The following is a 14,469-nucleotide window of genomic DNA, read 5'->3' as shown; positions in this document are numbered from 1 at the left end:
TGCACAGGAGCAGGACAGGCAGAAATTTCTTGTCACAAAGAAGCACTGAGAGATGCCCAACCCAGGACCTTGGGGGACATGCACACAGTCCACCCGCCTCACACTAGGAAGTTCTCCACCATCTTTAGAAGAAACGCTACCCTTGGAAGTTTGGAGCAATGAGTATTTTATATGAAGCATTAGCAGTGGATTTGGGCGTACTTTTATTATCCTCCATCGATTGATATTGCTTTTATACATCTCATAAATTACATTATCCAAACTGACCCTTCAACAGACCCTTAAGGTAACCCTAGGCAGAAATATGATCATCTCATTGTTCAGGCAAGGTAAATGGGACTTAGCGGGGCTGCTCAAAGTCATGCAGAAGCCAGTGCAGAAGCTGAAACCAGCCGTCACATCTTCTGGTTTGAATGTGGGAATCAAATTCTTAGATTATTTCTCTTTCAGCATAGTTTTGCCTCCGTACAGCAAAAGTGAAGAATATAATTGGCTCCTCTGAGGATAAAAGGTTAAAACTCAATTGCTTTGATTCCATTTTTCCCTGTTATGGAGGAAATGGGCAGACGTAAGAACCACTATATGGTCCCCTTTACCTCTCCCTTCTCAACATAAATTTGAGGCACAACCAGAGCTCCTGAATTCCTAGCTGTGGGTCAGGGTTTCTGTTGAGTATCCACAGCTGGTGGCCACTCACCATGCCTCTAGGCCACCAACCTCTGCCTTCATGGAAGCCCAGGGAGAGAATCAAGTTAAATAGCCAAAGGCCATTTATTACAAAGGTAAATTTGCTGCCAGAATCCTGTGGAATCCCAGAAACCAAGCCTCAGGGCTGTTCAAGCTAAGTCACCACGCAAACATCTGAGGGCAGATGGAAGGTGGCACTGCAAGCATTTCAGGGTAGTGCCATGAAGCTTAGGGGCAACAACCTCTCCCAACCCTCACCCAGCAGCCTTGCAGTAAATGCCTGTCTTCTCCAAGAGAGCCGTCTACTAAACAGTAAGACCATCCTTTAACAAGACAGGAGCACACACTTTCTTTGTTCCATGGCCCACACAGATCATGTAGTCTATGCAAGAAAATGTGACTCAACAACGAACCTGTCAACTCAGAATTCTCCTTAGAAGCCTTAGATACTGAACTGCCTCCTTGATGACAGTCTCTGACCCATCAACATTTGTATCCTCCACACAGAAGTCTGCACTTATTAAGTGCTGAATAAATCTAAAAATCAAATTGTTATGTATTACAGAGTTGATAAATAATGCACCCTTCAGAATAATCTAATCCAATGTCAAAGACTCTCATACCTTAAAAAAGAAGTCAAATCCAAGGAAAGATCCAAAGGGGCATAGTGTTACCTCTGCATAGACATCGCATCCTGAAATTACAATATTGGGCCTGAAGTTGGTTGCTTTAACTTTCTTCTCTAGCCTGGAGTTGAGATCCGCCAGCGACGCCTCAGAAAGGATCAAGAATGGGCTGGTGTCTGAGTAAGCAATCTGATAAGGAAATAGACATTGTTATAACACATGGCACACCAACTTTTCAGTGGTTAGGTGTGCCTAGTTCCTAGACATAGCCTCCATGCTCCACCCCACCCCACACACAATCTTTCAAAGTAGTTCTCTTGTTCTTTTAATAGAAGTCACAGTGACTCAGAAGTTTTCAATAGCCTTGCAGATAGCAGAAACTGCATGGTGGAATGAAGGGAACAAGGACTCAGAATCAATCCTAAGCTGCCACAAGGCATGTGCCCTTGGGGACATCACTGAACCTTTCTAAGCCTCCCATTTCTCAAATGTTTAATAAGGTGGTTGAGTTTGATGACCTCATTATGTTTGATTTAAATGTTCACTAATTCCATGAATACTTATTTTATGCAACTTACAAATTAATATTTATGTTGACCATAATTTATGCATTTGCTTGTTTCTTTATTTATATATTTTGAGACAGAGACTCCTTGTCACCTGGGCTGTAGTGCAATGGTGCCATCACAGATCACTGCAGCCTCAACTCTCTGGACTCAAGCAATCCTCCCACCTCAGCCTCCTTAGCAGTAAGGACTACAGCATAATTTATTTTTTTTATGGCCATGGTAAAAGCAGTATATGGTACTACAAACCCTGCTTTTATGATGAATCCTTAGAGCTTTATGCCATTAAGGCTGATCATTTGAGTCTGTGTATCTCCATACCCATGCCAACTTGCACAATTGGAATCTGACATACAACTGCAAACTGTAAAAATTCTGGACTCCATGTGCAATTACAGAATGGAATGAAAAAAAGACACTGGTGCAGAACAGTTTTGAAACCCTACTGGCATCAGAATGCTTACACAAATAGGAAGGTAGATGCTCAAGGGCAAAAATTCAAGAGTCCCCCAAACAAAGAAACAAACAATGCTTCCAAGGGAAGGGCTTTATTTCTGCCTACTGCTTGTGATCTGAGCTACCAGAGGGCTGCCCCAGAAAACAACAGAGCCGAGGTCATCAGAGATGCCACCTGAGCCCCCTGATCTGGGGGTGACTGCTTTCTACCCATGGAGGCAGCAGAACCTCTCACCTGGTCCTTGGGTCGGAACAAGTCTGCTATTTGATGAGGACGTCTCGGTCGCATGTGAGGCTCGAAGTGCACCAGGCGGTAGGGCTGTGACTTCAGGAAGCTGGTTATCCACTGGGCGGTGGCCTCGCCACAGTCCCTGCCCTCTATCTCCAGGCCGTGCACTCTGCAGGGGTAGCAGGAGCAAAGGGCAGACATGGCTTTGAAAATCCATGCACCCTAATATGTGCCAGCTATATCAGAAAAGCTGCTCCTAGCTGTAACATTACTGTCATTTCTTAATTATCAGAAGATGTAATTTTAGTCCTGGTCCTGACTCCAAACCTGTGTAAGGCCAAATGAAAATGAAAGCACCCCTTTAAGCATTGCTTTCCTCATTTTAAAAATCAAGTTTTGTACAACTGTGTCTCCCTACCTGGAAGGAATGCAGGGAGGATGAAATGAAATAATATATTTAAAAATGTACTGAGTTCTCCAGAAGAAAACTAATGTATCAGTATAAAGTAAACTTAGAATTACTGCAAAATCTAGTTCACCCAGCTGAATAGCGACCAGAAATCTTTATTCACAGGCCTGGCTATGCTTTGCCAGTATAGTACAGCAACAATATGAAAATGTTCTATAAAGCCTAAAACATTACAGATAATAACTATATATATAACAATCATTAACAATAATATTATATTTATTTAATAATAACAATAATAATCTACTGGATTTGATTGCAAGTTATAACTTTGTAGGATTTGAAGTTCCCACTCCCCAGCACATAGTCCTGTGCAGGGCTGTTTGGCGTTATATGAATTTCACAGCTATGGAGAGGAAAATAAATGCTATGGTGTAGGCCAGTGTTTCACAAAATGCAAGACCATTACCACTGCTGGCATTCAAGATAACTGTAGATGGCACCTGGGTATAGCATTAAATAACAGTGAATTGCACAGAGAGAAATTTCAGTTTAGTGGTAATAAATCTTTACCTTTTAGCAACACTTGATAATCTCCTCTTTTAACAAAGAAAGAACACACCTTAGGTCCAGAGACCTCTGTAGGCAACAGCTTCTAGCTAGAATTTAGTAATGTTTTAGCATATTGAGTGTTGGTTACTTTCTGGCAAATTATATAGGTAGCCATATAAAGTTTGTATACAGGTAGCCATATAAGGTTTATAGGTAGCCACATAAATTTATATATAAACCCATATATATAAATTATATAGGTAGCCATACAAAGCCGTATACTTGGCAAATTATATAGGTAACTACATAAAGTTTCTTTTTTAAATAAATGTGTTTAAGATTAGTTTATAAGCTGAATCAATTTAAAGAGAAATATTAAGTAAACAAGAGTACAGGTGGTTTATGGTTTGGCCTACTATCATCGTGGTGTTATGCAAATGCTGGAAGTTTGAGAAAGCTTAGTGGATCAAGTAAATCTACTTGGGTGAGCATTCCATTTCCACAAATGACTAGCTCCATGGCCTTGGTGATAGTTTCTTATTCTGAGACTCAGTTTCTTCATCAATAAAATGGGGGTAGAAGCAGAACTTTGTTGTGAGGATTAGGAACAATCCGTAAGAAGTCCCCAAACAATTCTTAGGACTGGGATATGCTCAGTAGGTAGTAATGACCCAGGGTCCCCCAACCAAGTTATTTCAAGCTATCTTTGTATAGTTACTCCATAAATCAAACATTTAATCCAACAAAAGCATCCATTCTCTAATAATAATGTATAAATGGATTTTTATATTGTAAAATATATTGAGTATAGTATCCTATATAATTGTATATAATTTTATTTTATTGCTTTATATCTAAAATGAGAAGTCATTACTAACAGTGTCTGGGTTACATTAAGCAGTAGATTGGTGTATTCAAAGTTTTCATAAATTTTTAAAAACTTTTTATTGAAGCGTAACACTCATGCAGAAAAGTACACTGCTGTAGTATATGACTTGATACCTTTTCACACACTGTCACCCCACCCATTCTAAATTAACTCCTGAGAATCAGAGGGCTGAAATATGCACCCAAGGCCTATGAAGTAATGAGACCATTTACAAAGACCAGGAGTGTCTGCCTTACTCTTTTCTGGATCAAGATGAAAAATAAATAAAATGAATAAAATAAACATACCCAAATTTATACACCCAAATGGATATTACCTTTCAGAGCAGTCACCTTGGGAAGTAATCATTCTAACCTAGTATTAATCATATCTACTTATTTCTACTTTTAAGCCTAACCTCATTTTTTAACCAAAAAAAAAAAAGATCCTATCGTTTTCTTATTCACAGGCTTTAGCTCCAAATAATTTTTTACTTTTCCCAAAAAATCAAATCCACCAGTTCTAGAACTGAATATATGTGGGGGGCTTAGCATCTGTGTGTGTGTGTGTGCAGTTTAATGTCTGAAATGCTAATTTCAGAAGCATCTTGTGAAATGCCAGCATTACCAAATATCTAGGTATGGAGACAGCCTTGAAGGTCATCTCCTTGTTAGATGTCTCTTTGCTGGTGCCTATGAGAAAAAAAAAAAAAATCACCCTCCTTTCTCCAGTCAAACCCTTACAGCCCACCAAGGCACCCTCTCAGTCTCAACTTGCCATTTGGCAGCCCAGGGCTTCCCTTAGTTGCTTTTATAGGAGGGTGGGAGGGCACACACAGTGGAGGATATAGACAGGAAGGCTGCTTTGACTCCTTGGGGCTTCAATTGGCAATAATTATTTTTACAAAGTCAAAGCATTTGCATCTATCTTGGGCCATTTAAACATCTGCCCTGCTAATCTGACACTGATTTCCATTGCAACATCTATTTCTAGATCCTGGGGTTCAGGTTCATAATCACCCAGAACTTGAGGCCTTTCAACGAGTAGAATTTGTTCTGCCTTCTTCCTGCTCCTGCCACATTTCTCCTGAGTTCTGATTGGCCTCTGCTGTATCTTGGCCCCAGCACCCCACCTGCACACTGTCCCAAAAAGTGCAAGTGAAGAATTAAAATAAAATTCCAAATGCTCCTATAACCTTTGACCCTTTGACAAAGATAATGTAGGCATGGCTTGAGATGGTTTGAGGTTTGAGGCTGTTTGTCTGAATAATCCATAGCCAAAGTCCCTAATTCTGTGTATCTTATTAATAGCAGGCAAGGCATGTGAGAAAATCAAGTAACATCTTCGACCATGAAAACAGGTGTACTGCCTGTGATCACGACCCCAGCGCCCCAAGAACTCATCCGAAATCTTTAGGAAACTGTGGGCTGAGGTTACAGCTCCCTCATAAGAGAATAGGTTGGGCTGTCAAAAGAAACCTGAATCCAGAAGATTCTTGGAATCTTTGCTCGAAGAGTCTGTATACTACCGTAGCATGTCTAAGCCTTTTCATTTTGCAATTTGCAAGCATGCCCTTGTTTAGTCTTTTGGGCATGGACCAAATGCCCATATGGGACTGTGAAAAAAGTTTCAACACAATTTCAAATGAATTAAAAATTAAACAAAAAAATTAACTGTAAGAAAATATGGGTAAATATCTAACCATGGCAAATAAACACAAATCAAGACATGGACAAACATGAAATACAGATTGCAATATAAGTATTTAAAAGCTTACCTCATTCAGGGAAAAATACAAATTAAATTAACAAGAAATTATCATTTTTGCCCATAAAAATGGCAAAATGTTTTTTAACATAATGGTTAAAATGGAATTGGTAAAACCATTCTGCAAACAATTTAGCAAGGTGTATCAAAAGCCTACAGGATCCATATTCTTATTTCAAGCAAAACCACTGCTAGAATTTTTTCCCTAAGAAAACAACAAATGATATAAACAAAGATTTATGCCAAGATATTCATCACATTCTTCTTAATACCTGGAAAAAAATTAAGACAATCAAAATGTTTAATCATGGGGCATATTAAAATGCATTAGAGGACACCCACAAAATGAAATATTATGCCAACATGAAAAATGGTATCCTTAAAGATTTTTTAACAATATGAAAAAATACTCAACATATCAATTTAAGTATATAAACAATATTAAAGGATTTTTTGTATTATTTCAGTTTAGTTTTTAAGTAGTAGGCATAGAGACCGAAAGAAAATATGCTGCAATATTAATTAGTTATCACAGATAGTTTTTGTTTCTTTTTTTTTTTTTTCTTGGTATTTCCCAAATTTTCAACAATGAATATGTACCACTTTTCTAATCTGAAAAGCCACCAAATTCAAAAAAGTATATTATCAAGTTTAAAACTCTAAAATGTAGAAATTACATCAGTATTGCATTTTGTGAACTTTTCTGGGTCTTTAGACGTTGTTCAGATAACTACATTTTTTGAGGTGATGCTATTTTTTTATGATAGGCTATAAACTACATTCACACTGCATCTTTATTCCAAATGCAGAAACTATAACAAGAATATAACTGGACCAACTCTAATTTTCCCATAATCAGATAAGAAATCAACTCTAGACATGACTTCTTGGAGGCAAAACTAGTTTTCCTAGAAGAATTGCTTCATTGCAGCCCTTCTGATGTTGAGGGAAGGGCTTGTGTACAGAACATCCTCCTGGGTTACATCCCCAGCCTCATTCTGACACTGACCCCTGGGCAGCCGCTGGCTGGATCACTCTTCTAGCTAGAGTTGTTCTTTTCTATTTTGGAACTTCCTTTCATTAGAACTAAATCTTACGGGTCACATAGCCATTTGCAACTCCTTTCCTAACTCAGACTTGGAAGGTGCCCAGTTTTTCTAAGCCAAGAAGAAAAAGTTCTATGAGAATACGTAGATCGAGTTTCACCTCTGCTAGGACACTCGCCCCCACCACTCCCACCCCATTTTTGTGCTTGATCTTTGGGTGCTGTTATTTTTCTCTTGCTGACATGTCAATATGCTTTTGTTCTCATGGGTTTCTACATAGCACTTTCATGTCTGTCATCTCCACAACACAAGTTTCTGAAGCTGCTTCCTTCTTTCTCCTTCTTTTAGATCTTCATAATGTTGAGGACTTCATTCTGTATATGGTACACATGCAATCAACGGTTCATTATTGATATGTTTCTCAGCATTCCCTCTAGAGTTTATGCTTTCTCAAAATTGCATGACTATTCATTCACACAAGGGCTACGACCTGCCCTTTCCTTACCTGCACTTGTGCACTGCATTTGTGGTGGGCGTTTTGATAGGCAGTAGTAGGTCCTTTGTGTAGGCTGCACTGAGAGTCAGGGTGTCACCATCGCAGGTCAGGGAAATCAGGACCAGGCGAGGTTCCTGGCGAGCAGTAACCATGTTTCCCTCCTGGTTGATCACAAGCCAAAACCTGCCGTTTTCAAAACACAGGATATGTGTGAACCATTATGGCAGGAAGCCAGACCCTGGAGGAGCTTCAATTAGACACTGTTGTCATCTTTGATTTCTTCCCCATAAGCCTGGTGTGTGTGAGTTTGAGTGTGTGTGTCTGTCTGTCCTAAACATCAGCACACAGGACTGAGTCTGTCACTTAATTTCAAAGGATTTCATAACCACTCAAGCATCCAACATATATCTGGAGAACAGTTTGAGCTCTTTGATGGCACAGAAATCAAAGATGTTAATTATATTTTCATCTCAATCTCTAGAAAGCCTGATCACTTTCATTAAACATGCCCCAAGCAGATGACAAGAATCTATTTTACATGAAGACCTCAAAGGCAGGAGGAAGCACAGGGCCTGGCATCTGGTAGGCAACGGGCTCTTGTCAGTGGAAATAGCAGGACTGTTGCTTATATTGTTCACAGGGCATGGAGTTCAGCTGAGCAACACACAGTGCCACTTATACTCTGCCAGTTCCAGCCCCCCACCTTTTAAAAATTTTATGTTCCAACATTCAGTGCTGTCCATTCTGCAATTTGCTAAACTAGACAGTATTTTTTTCTTCTGGCCCAGTATTCCTGGTCTACAGGTACTTCCTAGAAAAAAAGATAAATGGAGAAATAAAGGTAATAGAAAGAGCCATTTCCAGAACAAGAACAACATGTTTTTGCAGGTTATCTCTCAGCTACCAAGGAAGCAAAACATATTGGCATTTCAATCCTTACAGTACACACTGATCAAATGATTACAATTATAGAAGTGAGCATGTGCTTTTGAGATTTCCAGACATAAGAAAAAAATATGGCCGGTACTTTAGGTCGTTCAAGATATTTCTTGCATCACTTCCAGCAGGTTATCATGGTTGAGTTGTTCAGCTACACTAGAAAAATATGCTTAGTATAAGCCCTTTCCGTAACTGCCCTTTTACCAGACTTTGTTTCTGCACAGACAGAGGCCTGCCCTGACCCAAATCCTTGGGACTAGCAGGTGAATATTCTGTCTAATATTCTTCCTGGTAATGGCAGTTTACATCGCTCTAAAATGCAAATCTAACTTTATGACCCCCTCATTCAAAATCCCTCCATGGTTCCTGCTTTCAGGATAAAACCAACTCCTAAACAAGGGCGTGCCCAGCCCTTCATGATCCAGCTGTTGCTCCAGCCATTCTTACCTCCCGAGGTCTTCACACAGGCCAGTCTTTTATATATTTATTTTTTAATTGCAGTAAAATATATATAAAACATAAAATACCTAGCACACTCCTACGTATAGACCCCAAAGAACTGAAAACAGGAACTCAAACAGACATTTGTGTATCAATGTTTATTGCAGCTTTAATCAAAATGCTGAAAAAGTAGTAACAGCCCGAGTGTCCATCAACAGAGAATGGAATTTTTTAAATGTGATTTTAACCATTTTGAAGTGTGCAATTCAGTGGCAGTAAAGTACATTCACAGTGTTGTGCAACCATCACCACTATTTGCAAAACCTTTTCATCACCCCAAACAGAAACTCTGTACCAATTAAGCAATAACTCCTCGTTTTCCCCTTCCCCCAGCCCCCAGTAACATCTAATCCACTTTGTCTCTATAAATTTATCCACTAGACATTTCATATAATTGGAATTATGCAATATTTGTCCTTTTGTGTCTAGCTTATTTCAATTAGTATTATGTTTTCCAGGGCCATCCATGTTGTAGCACATATCAGAACTTCATTCCTTTTCATGGCTGAATAATATTCCATTGTGTGTATATACCACATTTTGCTTATCTACTCATCCATCAATGGACACTTAGTTGTTTCCACCTTTTGGCTACTGTGAATAACATCATAATGAACATTCAACACTCAATGCTGCAAAGAACATTCATCCTATTTATGTCCCAGTTCCTTTTGGTAAATACCTTAGAGTAAGCTTGTCCAACCCGTGGCCCAGGACAGCTTTGAATGAGGCCCAACACAAATTCATAAACTTTCTTAAAACATTATGAGATTTTTTTTGTTTTTGTTTTTGTTTTTGCTCATCAGCTGTTGTTAGTGTTAGTGTATTTTATGTGTGGCCCAAGACAATTCTTCTTCCAATGTGGCCCAGGGAAGCCAAAAGATTGGACCCCTCTGGCATTGACTATGCCAGCCTTTCCCCTAGCATACCCCATCCTCACAAGCCGAGTGTCTTTGCCCAGCTTATTCCCTCTCTAGAAAGTTCTTCTCCCAATTTACTTGCCCAGCAAGTTCTGAATCGTTTTCCAGTTTTCAGCTCAAGCTGTTACTTTCTCTCTGATGTTGTCCCTGACGGCCCCAGCCAGCTTCCAGCACTGCATCCTCTATGCTGGCACCCTGGCACGTGTCGCATCCTCTATGCTGGCACCCTGGCACGTGTCACAACCTCTGTTTAGTCTAGTCACAACCTAGGACTGTAAGCCAGTGTTGGCTTCTTTTGATCACACTTTCTGGGAGTGTGTGATGAACGAAAATAAAGAATTTATCATAGTGTCTGGTACAAAGGCCAGCTCTTCTTGTCATCTATTGTAATATGAGCTCAAAAACTGCTTTTTGAATCTAAGTAGTAAAATTCCAGTGCCCTTTGCCTCTGGGGCCTACAAAAACTCTACCACTTTTCAGAGCCTACTATACGAAACATGGATTTTTTTTTTTTTTGAGACTTAGTCTCACTCTGTCGCTCAGACTGGAGTGCAGTGGCGAGATCTCTGCCACAGTGGAGCTCTGCAAGCTCCGCCTCCCGGGTTCACGCCATTCTCCTGCCTCAGTCTCCCGAGTAGCTGGGACTACAGGCGCCCACCACCAAGCCCGGCTAATTTTTTGTATTTTTTAGTAGAGAAGGGGTTTCACCCTGTTAGCCAGGATGGTCTCAATCTCCTGACCTTGTGATCCACCCGCCTCGGCCTCCCAAAGTGCTGGGATTACAGAAGTGAGCCACCGCGCCTGGCCCAAAACATGGAATATTTAGGATTCTTGGCTTCCTTCCTGAAGCAAAGATGCATACGTCACTCACCTTTCAACTATGTCATGAATTGCCCTCTGTCTGGGGAGCTGGTAGGAGAAAGGTTACAGCTCCCATTAGTCCTGTGTTACTTGCTGAACTGCGAGGGCTGCTCTGGAAAGGAGTTTCAAGTGCAGCCTCACAATAAGACCCGAGGCTGGCCTGAAGCCAGACCCTAAAGAGGACAAAGCTGCCGGCTCCCGGGTTTTGCAGCCTTCGCTGAACCCCAGGAATCCACGCAGCTCTCAGAACCCAGACAGGACATTAACAAAGTCACTCTTTACAAAGCCCCAGTGTGCTAAAGAAAATAAGAGTCCTGGTTCTGCTGCTGTGTGGCTCTGAATTCAACTTCTTTATCCACAAGAGTGCTTGAGAGCATTGGAGAGAATTGGGGAAAATAGCATCTGCAATGCCCCCACAACTCTTTCTTTCTTTCTTTCTTTTTTTGATTCGGAGTCTCGCTCTGTTGCCCAGGCTGGAGTGCAGTGGCGCAATCCTGGCTCACTGCAACTTCCACCTCCCGGGTTCAAGCTATTCTCCTGCCTCAGCCTCCTGAGTAGCTGGGATTACAGGTGCGCGCCACTACGCCCGGCTAATTTTTGTTTTTTTGTTTGTTTGTTTGTTTTTAGTAGAGACGCGGTTTCACCATGTTGGTCAGGCTGGTCTCGAACTCCTGACCTCAGGTAATGCACCCGCCTCGGCCTCCCAAAGTGCTGGGATTACAAGCGTGAGCCACCGCGCCCGAAGGTATTCGTTGAACTGCTGTCATTACTATTATGAGCTCCGCCTTGGTGCGCTCTTGGAGGGCTGGACTCTACAGTTCAGCTTTCTCCAAGATCTCAAGAAAGTCACTCAAAATAGCGACTGGGAACCAACCTCTTCAAGCTAGCCGCCTCCACTAAATGGAGATTAAGAAGTTTGCTCACTGGCAGACACCTGGGAGCGATACCACACCTCAGCAGGAGCACATGACGCCAAAGAGCCAGTGGGAGGTGGAGATCCGCCCACCCCGGGAAAACGGGTCCACGCGCTCAGAGTCCCAGAGCCCTGGGGTCTGATGCTGGGGGGTGAGGGTTCCTTTTTCTCTTTGGCCTTGTCTCACCCAACTCCCAGTTTCTTTGTAATAGGAGGAAGGACCTGTTAGCAGACTCTGCAGACCTCCCCTGCGCTCCTCCCTTCTCACCCCCTTGCCCCGAGCCGGATCAGCGCTGCCCCGCGCCGGCGCTTGGCCGTACCTGTCCCGCAGGTTGCCGCTGCGCAGCCCCATGGCCGTGCACTCCGCCTCGCTCACCGGCACCCCCTTGCAGGATTTCACAGGGTAGATCCAGAGCTGCGCCACTGTGCCCACCTGCTGCAGCAGCCGCCGGCGCCGCGTGGGCCATGCGCGGCGCCAGGCGACAGCCCCCAGCGCCACCGCGGTCAGGCCCAGCGCGGCAACCCCGAGCCACCCGGGCCGGGATTGCGCGAGGAGGACAAAGCGCGCCAGCGCGGAGGAGCCGGCGGCGCCCATGGCTGGCTTCTCCGCGAGGTGGCGGCGGCAAGGCCGGAGCGCGCTGGTCGCCCGGGGCCGCTGGGGGAAGGTGCGGCCTTTGGCCCCGAGCCCAAAGGCTGGGCAGCTCCTGAACCCTTCCGGGCCAATCAGAGCAGTGCGTCCTTCTGGGGGGCGGCGCGGGGAGTGGGAGGTGGTGGCTCAGCTTCCACTTGGTCGGCGCCCCACTGCCTCTGCAACCTTCCGTCGCCTGCGCTGCAGGGCGCTGTGCCCTCCCCCACCCCACGATCGCTGCAAGTGACCAATTTATTTACTTACGTATTTATGGGGTTATTTGACCTAAAATAAACAATATACAACATTTGCAGGACAAAGCGTGATTTTGAAATTAGAAATCAGACAGCTGGCAGCAGCCTCTCCTGGGAATAGTGGAGAGCTGGTAGGCCCTGCCTGGCCTGTGCAGTGTCCAGCTCTCTGCTGCCGCCGCCCTCCCCTCAGTCTGCCCAGGGGCTAGGAGCTTCCAGAGAGTGGGGGTCTGATGAAGGAGGATGCTACCAGGCCCTCCGCGCCGGCGAGCCAAGGCCAGAGTTCTCCCGGCGGCCCCTGGGAGCGGCAATGGGCGTCTGAGAGTGCCTTCTACACGGCTCGGGGACGCTCGACTCCTACCGGCGGGGAGCCTCGAGCTGGAGCTGCATTGGCAAGGGCCTTGGCTCAGTTTAACGCTGCACAAGGTCCCCGGGCTGCTTCCGGCGGGAGGGAAAGTCACTTGGTCCTGCAGGCACTCACCTCAGTCACTTGTCACTTCCAAATCAGGTTATATTCCAGACAACAATGTTAGCATACCCCGAACAGCGTGGTTTAGGAGTCAGGCTCCTGCTTGATGTACCAAGCTATTAAAGGAAAAAAATTCCCTCAGACGCTTGTTAAAAAGGTAAGGAAGACTATTCAAGGCTACTGTAACAGGGGCATCACAATAGGGGAAAGAGATTAGGCTCAACTCTGTATTACAGCAAAGACAGCTCAGGATTCATAGCCAAGGAGCGAAGTTCCTCGGGGTCAGTGAATGGAAAATCACTAAGCGGAGACATCAAGTGTAGAGGATTCTTGATAAACCCACTTAACAGGATTCTACTGAACAAGGCAAGGACTTACACACTGAGGGTGACATATGAGGAATCTGAGCAGACATCAAGGGTGATCAGATATTAAGGATGGGAGAATACTCTGGAAACTGACTAAGCAGGATTCTTGCTAAACTGGGCTCTGCAGGGAGTAGGGTGGCAAGGTCAAGGCCTCATGAAGAAAAGGGCACAGGAGAGTCCGAAGTTTGGTCAAGGAGAGTCTGTGTTATCCCCAGCTCAGCCATGGTCCCCTGAGCCAGGAGTGTACATTGCAAGACTCAGCCAGAATTGCCCATGCAGGGCAAGGGTGCATGGATGAGAAGCGGGAGTTCGCCAAGAGAAAAGAACAACACTCTTCCTCCAGCTGGCAACTCACTGCAGAGCAGTTCAGTGCTCAGGGAGGCTCTGTCTTTATTGGCCTGAACACTTATCTGTCCTGTTTTTCTGCTCTATTCTCTTCTCTTCCAACCCCAGGTCACACCTTGTCTGTAAAGGACACAGCTCAGCAGGAGGCACGACTTGATCCTCCTCGGAAAGGCAGTTCCGGGGCACCAAATGTGCGTTTCTGTTTATCTCCCTCCTGAATTCCTCTTTGAAAATTTAAGAGGAAAAAATGGCTTCCCTATTTTAATGGCTGACTTTGAAGTTCTGATTTTTCAATTTCATCACTTCCAGAATTTACCCAGGCCTACAGCTCACTTACCACTTTTACCTCACAGGGTGCGGGGAATGGTGGTGAATTTCAGTCCCAGAACCCAGCAAAGGAAAATGGAGGAGGAGGGAACAGCCACTCCTCACTGACCACTAGGAAGGCCCCTTGCGGACACTGGCCATCCTGCCACAGACAGGCCACCTGTGTGCCTGCAGCTCACAACGCCCTCGCCCCCTGCCAATGACAGAAGCCAGTGTTTGTGGAGTCAGATTGTATCTCTGGAGGC

The 14,469-nt window shown here is 43.8% G+C and overlaps 1 protein-coding gene across 8 annotated transcripts in view; it reads right to left on the bottom strand.

Moving 5' to 3' along the window:
- MTARC1 (mitochondrial amidoxime reducing component 1) overlaps window positions 1–12,463 on the bottom strand; it is a 32,747-nt gene extending 20,284 nt beyond the window's left edge. Inside the window, exons 1-6 of one of the 8 annotated variants that reach the window (XR_921908.2) lie at window positions 12,157–12,463; window positions 7,712–7,885; window positions 2,571–2,733; window positions 1,311–1,502; window positions 1,101–1,224; window positions 187–544 (exon numbers count right to left, since the gene is read on the bottom strand). Coding sequence is in view for 5 of the 8 variants with exons in the window: in XM_011509900.4 (XP_011508202.1) it covers window positions 1,311–1,502; window positions 2,571–2,733; window positions 7,712–7,885; window positions 12,157–12,431 (804 nt within the window). In the remaining 3 variants the exon portion in view is untranslated. Of the gene's footprint in view, window positions 1–186; window positions 545–1,100; window positions 1,225–1,310; window positions 1,503–2,570; window positions 2,734–7,711; window positions 7,886–8,405; window positions 9,304–10,933; window positions 11,038–12,156 lie in introns of those variants that run through there. The other 7 variants (XR_007063025.1, XR_001737362.2, XM_011509900.4 and 4 more) reach the window with 7 other exon arrangements.
- Between the last annotated feature and the right edge of the window lie 2,006 nt (window positions 12,464–14,469).

Source organism: Homo sapiens, chromosome 1 (assembly GCF_000001405.40).
Source record: "Homo sapiens chromosome 1, GRCh38.p14 Primary Assembly".
NCBI classification, from domain to species: Eukaryota; Metazoa; Chordata; class Mammalia; order Primates; family Hominidae; genus Homo; species Homo sapiens.
The sequence above is the reverse complement of the archived record's forward strand: the minus strand, read 5'-3'. Positions and strand labels throughout refer to the sequence as shown.